Source organism: Homo sapiens, chromosome 20 (genome assembly GCF_000001405.40).
Source record: "Homo sapiens chromosome 20, GRCh38.p14 Primary Assembly".
Lineage (NCBI taxonomy): Eukaryota > Metazoa > Chordata > Mammalia > Primates > Hominidae > Homo > Homo sapiens.
Genome location: NC_000020.11, coordinates 23061951 through 23070247, shown reverse-complemented (window position 1 = coordinate 23070247; position 8297 = coordinate 23061951). Strand labels below are relative to the sequence as shown.

The following is an 8297-nucleotide window of genomic DNA, read 5'->3' as shown; positions in this document are numbered from 1 at the left end:
TAAATCCTATGTAGTGACAAAACAAAGAGGAGAGCAGTTCTTGTCTTTTAAAAGGCAGGAAGATCTGGGAAGATAGTAGAGCCCCCTTCCAGATGTCTCTTGTGCCTGCTGATGCCCTCTCTGGGCTGGGAAGCGAGTGCTGTCTTCAGTAAGGAAGGGCTTGTGTGCTGCCGTCAGCCAAACAGCGGCCGAGGCCAAGTGCTTCCCTGTGCTTGTGGCATTTTTAGCTGAACAACCCTCAATATTTTGGGAGAAATAATTTGGTTTCCCTCATGTTGGTGCGGTACATTTGTTAAACTTGATGAGCTAATATTGACATATTATTATTAACTAAAGCCCAAAGTTTACATTAGGGTTTATTCTTACTGTTGTACATTTCATGGATTTTGACAAACATGTAATGACTAATGATGTGTTCCACTGTCACAGTGTCATGCAGAATCGTTTCTCTGCCCTAAAAATCCTCTGTGCTCTGCCTCTTCTTCCCTCCCAACTCCTGGAAACCATGATCTTTTCACTGTCTCCATAGTTTTACCTTTTCTAGAGTGTCATATAGTTGGAATCATAGAATATGTAGCCTTTTCAGATTGGCTTCTTTCACTTAATAATATGCATTTAGGTTTCTTCTAAACATTTTCATGGTTTGATAGCTCATTTCTTTTTTGTGCTGAATAATATTGCATTGTCTGAATAGAGCACTGTTTATTTATCCATTCACCTAGCAAAGGACATCTTGGTTGCTTCCAAAATTCGGCAATTATGAGTAAAGCTGCTATAAATATTCATGTGCAGATGTTTTTATGGATATAATTTTTCTACTCATTTGAGTAAATACCTAAGAGTGCAATTTCTGGATGGTAAGAGTATGTTTAGATTTGTAGGAAACTGCCAGACCATCTTCCAAAGCGTTTATCATTTTGCATTCCCACCAGCAATGAATGAGTTCCTGCTGCTCTACAACCTTGCCAACATTTGGAATTGTCAGTGTTCTGGATTTTAGCCATTCTATTAGGTATGTAGTGATATCTCATTGCTGTTTTAATTTGCAATTCCCTAATTACATGTGCTATTGAGCATCTCTTCAATACTTCTTTGCCACCTGTGCCTCTTTTTTGGAGAGGTGTTCATTTAAATCCTTGGCCCATTTTTATATGGGTTTTTTTTATTGTTGAGTTTTAGGGTTTCTTTGTATATTTTGGATATTAGCCCTTCATCAGATAAAGTCATGCACTGCATAATGACATTTCAATCAATGACAAACCATGTATATGAAGATGATCCCATAAGATTATAATACTGTATTTTTACTATACTTTTTCTATGTTCAGATGTTAAGACATATGAATACTTACCATTGTGTTACAATTGCCTCTACTGATCAGTAGAGTAACATGCTGTACAGGTTCGTAACTTAGGAGCAATAGGCCATACCACATAGCCTAGGTGTGTAGTAGGCTATGCCATCCATGCTTGTGTAAGTACTCTATGATGTTCACACAATGACATTGCCTAACGATGTATTTCTCAGATGGTATCCCCATCTGAGACTGTATATATTTCACAAATATTTTCTTCCAGTCTGTGGCTGGTCTTTTCATTGTCTCTGGAGAGTCTTCTGCAGAATAGCTGTCTTAAATTTTATGTATATTTTACTATTGCATCTTAATTCCTCTGTTGAGTATCAGGAGTTCAGCTGAGCAGGAGAGAGAGAGAGCTGAGCTGTCAGGTGTTGGAGTAGCCAATTAAAGCAACAATGAGCCAAAATGAAAGTACTGGTAAAGCCTTTAATCACTTATTGCGATGGTACAAGCAATAGTCTCAACCAGAGAAAATGCTGACCCCTCTTGTTTCTCTTTGCCCATGGAACTGTAGTGCACCAATACAGGGTCAGGTTGTTGGGGTCCTTTCACTATTGACTGAGCCCCAAACACAAGGCTCCAGTAGCTTTATGGGCCCTGGGGTCAGAGGGAGGGTGAGTGGGGAAGGGCCAAGAGTAGGGAAAATGTCTTTAAGCCCCTACCCCATAAGGAGGCCTTTGGGGATCATGAATATCTCTAATTATACCGACCTCTATCAAAACACACACACATCATGAAGGAGTGGTCACCCCTGTGTGTTCCAAGACCACTTTCCTCTCATCATTCCTGAGCATTGACTTTTTAAACTTGCAGCTTTGGTTTTTTTCTTTTACCCATTTTCCTTTGAATCATCTGACTACATTTCTTTCTTAGAGATGGCCACAGTCAAACCCTGCTTTTGGGCTACAGGCCTTTTGGCCTGTACAGGCCCTTCAGTTTCTAGGAAATGTGCTTGAGCATATTCTGTGGGCCTAGCATTGTGCTAAGGACCGTCCTCCATCCTGTGCCAGCCACTATGCGTTGTGCCCATTTCACAGATGGATAAATAGAAGCTCAGATGTATTTCAACAAATTGCTTAAGGTCACAAAGCAAGCAGCTGTCAGAACCAGGAATGAAACTGAAGTCTGTCTGACTCCTCAGAATCATGCTCTTATTCCAAACTTGTCTCCAGAGAGGATAGTGGTGGGCATCAGTCTGCTGGGCAGGTGGGCCGTGGCCACCTCCACTGCTCCCCTCAAGGCTTCCTTTCACTATTCCCCAACTGTGACAAGGGTGAATCACTGACTGGCACAGAACACCTGTGGCATTCACTGTGGCAGTGTCAGATTGAGATCACCGCTGGTCCTTAACAGGGCAGGTGGGTCTCCCCGACATTTGGGGAAATGCAGCTTCACAGAGAAAAGAGCCTGGACTCCATAAGCAAAGTCTTTTTCCTAATATTTTGCTAGAAAAATTTACAAACGGTGAACAGCTGTGTGGATTCTACCTAGGTAGAATTCTACCGCTTAGATTCGAACACCATCTAGATTCTACACTTTTAATATGTCACTTGACTTCTGTCACAACTTTCCATCCACCCAGCCATCAATACAGCTTATTTGTGATGCATTTGAGTAAGTTGTAGGCATCAGTACACATCCCTCTAAACATGTCAACCCATGTCATTAACTAGAGGCCGATATTTGTTATGTTTTTCTTTTGAGATAAGATTTACACACAATTAAATGTACAAATTTTAAGTGTGTCATTCCATGAGTTTTGACAAATGCAGACATCTGTGTAATCAACACCCTGTCAAGATAAGGACCCGGACCATCACCCTAGGAAGTTTCCCCATCCCCCTTCTCAATTTTACCTTCTCCCCAGCTAGAGGCAACCACTGTTCTGATTTCCCCCCATCATGGATTATTTAGCCTGTTTAATGACGTCATATAATTCAAATCAGACAGAATATACTGTTTTATGTAAAGCTGCTTTTATGCTGTGCAATGTTTTTGAGATTTGCACATCATAGGATGTGCGTTCACTCTTAATTGCTCCTAGAATTCCCCTGAGCAGCTTCACTAACAATTGTGTATCAATTTACCTGCTGATGAACACCCAAGTGTTACCAGTTTGGGACTATTATCAACACACAGCTGTGCTTCTACGTCTTTCGGAAGCAACATCTCACAAGACTGTTTCAACAGGGCCTTGACACATCTCAGAGGCAAACCCACACATGATGCATAAAACTATAAAGAGCACACATTTCTTCTCATTTGCTTCCTTTTGCTTAAATCATTTCAGGGATTGAGATGTGGTTACATGCTGGATGTCAGAGTTACACAGCCCTGCAGTTGAATTCTGGCTTCACTGCTGCCCCATGACCTTGGCCAGGCTACTGTTCCTAAATTAATTTCATCTTCAGTAAAATAGGGATAATAAAAATAATTTGTTGTGAGGATTCCATGTAATGTGCTTAATGTCCTTAATATGGCACCTAGCACAAAGTAAATAGTCAGAAAATGGCATGGATGAACAAAAAATGACATGCAACCAAGTTCCAATAAATAGCCAAAAAATGCAAATGCTGGCACCAAGAAATGTGGTAGAGATTCTAGAGCTTTCCATTAGACATCTACAGAATAACTGCTTTCATGTTTTATACTCATCCAAGGAAAGTGAGTCTCCATATCTTGCTGAAAATAAAAAGAACTTTCCAAAACACCTCCAGTTGTCCAGCCCATGGACTATGTATTTATTGTCTTCAAAGGAAACTTTGCTATTTGCCTTGGGGGGTAATACATGGCAACATGAGTTTGGCCAGCCTGGGAATCGCATTCCTGGGAAAAGGAATGCCATTGTAGATCTAGCTAAAAAGAAGGATCTGAAGAAGAATGAGTCTGAAGGTCACTATTGCCATGAACTCTACGTGCACACCTCATTTTATCAGAAAATTCAGAGCTGAGGTGCCCATACTGTTGATACAAAGCTTCAAGGCAAACAAATCCACGTCCAGCTCAGCCTCTACAGGCACTGTGCTATCCACTGTGCTTCCTTTTAAAGGGATACAACACGTAGGTGGCAGAACCTAGAAAGTGTTTTCTTTTAATAACATTATTGGTGCTGACACTTTTATTACTAGGCACTCCGATGGGCGATGTTCCTGATAATGGGAATTTTCTTTTCCTTCCATCAGATTGCTAAAGCAAATAAAATCCCTCCAAACATGAAGGATTGTTACTCCCTGTGGTGCCTTCCTGCTTCTAATCATTTCTTTTCACTATAAACATTGTTTAAGTTTGACAGTAGGGCTTTGTGTGCACTCTGAAACTGAAGGAGGAACTGACAGCAGCTTTTTACATTTTCTGTTTCAGGTTATAACAGGGTTCAAGATGTGTACTTTCATGGAAAATGATGTTTCCATCTTTTCAATGGTTGTTTGGCTCAAAGGGGTGGATCAAGAACAAGGAACATTAATTGGTAGAGAGAAAGAAAAAAAAGTGACCAATAAAGAATCCCCTGATCACTGTGTGGGCTGCAAATAGCTGGGATCAGACCACCCATCCTGCTGTGTCCAACGCTCTGTGACTCCTGGAGCCATGGTATAAACCGAATCTGCAGGGAGTGGCACACGCACACGTCTTTAATTTCCATTTCCTCATTATCATCTCTTATATTCTACTGCTCAACATGAAAAAAAAAAAAAGAGTGTGAGATATTGCTAATAAACTGATCCTTTCAAGCTTAGGATCACAGCCCCGACAATCAGAGTCCTTAAAGTTCTTGCTGCTAAATCCAAGTGAGTTTTGTTTAGATGACAAAGGACCGATGCTCTACTGTGAGGACTACAGTGCCAGAAATACAAATGACCAAGACATTCTTGATGAAGAGGATTTATTACATCATCAGGGCCATCTACCCTAGAAATCAGCAGACAGGACTATAGTTTTAGTGAGATTTTAAAAATTTAATAAAATTCAGAAATGAATTTCTTAAGTGGGAACACTAAGCTCAGTTCAGCGAGAGATGGTTGATAGTTTTAACTCATTTCATTCACAAGCCATTAAGATTTCATAAGACGCAGCCCAAATGCTGTATTTGCTCACGTGCTAAACCAGACATGCTAGGGCAATTCTGTCAAAGGATTTTTTTCCCTTTGGTTTTGTTATTAATCCTTTATTGGCTTTTGCCTCTATGACTCAGCCTGGTTGGCCCAATGCAATCACAGGGTCCTTAAAAGATGGAATATCAAGGCAGAAGGGTTAGAGATGTGACACAGAAGCAGAGGTCAGAGAGAGAGGTGAGAAGATGCTGTGTATGCTCTTGGCTTTGAAGATGGAGCTAGGAGCCTCAGGTCAAGAAATAAAGGTGATCTCTGGAACAGATAAGGAAAGGATCCTCCCCTATATTCTCCAGAAGGAGAGCAGCCCTGATGGTGCCCCAATTTTGGACTTCTTACCTCCAGAGCTCTAAGATGATACGTTTGTGTTGTTTTTAACCACAGCAGCAATGGAAAACTATTACACTCCATCACGGAAAATACTAAGCTGCTCACTACAAATGACCGATATTTAAAGTTTTTTAAAAGTATAACAATTCTGTAATATAAAAGTAATGAAGTTCTCACTGAAGAGCAGTCAGAACAAATGTATGCAAAATGGTGTGTAAATGAGTGCAGTGTCTGTAAGGTGGTGACTATGGCGCCCATTTGCCCGCTTTATATGAACTACCAATTTTTGAGATGGAAACACCTTCATAGCAGAATGAAATGACCTGGAAGATGAAAGGTGGTGTTCCTTCCTTGGGAGCTGGGGAGTCTAGAGTGTGGAGGAATGTCAAACACATTGACTTACCAGAAGCTGCATGATACCGGAAGCCAAGAATCCAATAGGCCTGGTCTCAGCCAAGCCAACTCTGAGATCTGTGGTTCTATTGGGGAGTAAGGTGGAAGCGTTTTTCTCTTTAACTGAAAGAACAGAACCACATTTTTCTCTCTCCTTGTAATATGAAGCTTGTGGTCATTTCAGTCCTTACTTTGCCTTCTACAACTTCCTAAATACTCACTGTATTTTGCTTTTCCTTTCTCTTCTCTTCCTTCTTAACGCCCTCTCTTTCACTCACCATAATTCCACAACAGTGACAAGAAACATCCACAATGGACAGAAACAAGACAAAGAGGGCTTTTCCCACCATTGTCTCTTGCATTTGAATACAATGCTTCTTAGTGGTTGGGTTTTTTTCTTCTCTATATATATCTTTTTTGAAGTAGAGGAAGTTTTCATAAGCAAGTCCTGCATCTTCTAAGTTTTTTTCTTTATTAATGTTTGTAGGGCAGGGTTTGGAAAACTATGGCCTGCAGGCCCACTCTGGCCCACTGCCTGTTTCTGTATGGTGCGTGAGCTAAAAATGGCTTTTTTGCATTTTTTTAATGGTCAGAAAAAAATCAAAAGAAGAAAAATATTTCATGGCATGTAAAATTATGAAAATTTCAAAGTCTGTAAACAAAGTTTTATTGGACCACAGCCACATCCATTCGTTTATATATGGTCTGCGGCTGGTCTCCTGTTACAGCAGCACAGACCAAGTGGCCTGCAAAACCTAAAGCACTTATTATCTCTGTTTCTTTGCAGAAAACAGTATGAGGTTGACATACTCATAGCCCAACAGTATGAGGTTGGGCTATGAATTCTTAATACTTTTAGCATCTTGGATTCCTTCAGTCTTCCTCCTTTCCATCCTATTGCATGACTTTCAGCTTCATGATAACAATGTCCTCTGCACCTCCTGTCTGTGCAAAAATTTTACAAATTACATTTATCTTGGCTTGAAGGTGGAGTTCCACTATCCCATCAGGATAAGGTTTGTGATACTTGTGCCCATGCAGGTAGAAACTGTAGATTCAGGATCCAAGGAAGAGTTGGTAGAGCCAGGACCCAAGGTGGAAAGCCCAGGAGGAAGAGATGAGGGTAGTGAGGATGTGAGCAGAGCCTGGGAGGCCACTTCATTCATGCCTCACATACAATGAGCCAGTTGTTTCTCAAACCTGTGCATCAGAATGCCCTGGAGAGCTTGCTAAAACCCACAGGGCTGGGCCCAATCCCCAGAGTTTCTGATTCAGGAAGTTTGAATTAGGGCCCAGGAATCTGCCTTTCTGACAAGTTGGTAAGTGATATATGTGTTCACAGAGAGAAGATAAAAGCTGATGCTGACAATCTTGGCCACTCCTTTTTCATACTCCTAAGAGGATCATTGAAACTGTGGTGGAAGGTAGGGGAAGGCAGGTAGAATCCTGTGCAGGCTGGTCTCATTGAGGCCGTTGGGTTGCCCAGCGGAGTGTGTGTGCAGCAAATTCCCCAATACCCTTTTCCCCAAGACCTTGTCAACAGGCAGATTCTGATGCAGGAGGTCGGGGTGGGGTCAGAGGTTGTGCATTTCTAACAAGCTACCAGGTGCAGTGATGCTGCTGGTCTGGGACCACACACTGAGGGGCAAGGCTGCAGGGGACTGCCTTGGTTTGCATACCCTTCTTCTTCCTCTGCCTGTATCACAGCAGGAACATCCTGTTTTTAATGCCAGCTGCCCTTCAGTCCACCAGAGGCAGCAGTGCTCCAACGTTCTGGGGCCATGTCCACATCTTTATCATTGCTTCTGAGCCCCGGGGACTGACTCATTTAAATGACATTTTCAACTCTGGAAAAATGTTGGGCCAGAAATGGAAACAGCAGCAAACACTTTCTGGGAAACAGGAAGCCAAATATTTGGTTCTTGACAACTATTTTCCCCCCAGATTCAGAGCCTACTTATTTCCCAAATAAATAAAACTTTTAGATAGCAAGATAAAATATGAAAATGATGTTCACGCTCAAGACCACAGGATGAGAGCACAAAGAGTGCACACTAGGAGAAAACAGAGGGCTATAAAGTGTCTCTGGCATATTTCAAGTTCTGAATTT

At 41.5% G+C, this 8297-nt stretch overlaps 1 long non-coding RNA gene across 1 annotated transcript, besides 1 other annotated feature; it reads left to right on the top strand.

Annotated features, from left to right (window-relative positions):
* Positions 1-717: 717 nt before the first annotated feature.
* LOC124904964 (uncharacterized) lies at positions 718-5109 on the top strand. The gene is made up of 2 exons (XR_007067745.1): positions 718-1012; positions 4719-5109. It is a non-coding gene; the product is annotated as an uncharacterized LOC124904964 (long non-coding RNA).
* Positions 7722-8016: a silencer, noted in NCBI's record as "tiled region #8459; HepG2 Repressive non-DNase unmatched - State 20:ReprD, and K562 Repressive DNase unmatched - State 7:EnhWF". NCBI's record gives its function as "represses a minimal TATA promoter and a strong SV40 promoter by Sharpr-MPRA in HepG2 and K562 cells {active_cell/tissue: HepG2 | K562}" and the evidence as "EXISTENCE:reporter gene assay evidence [ECO:0000049][PMID:27701403]".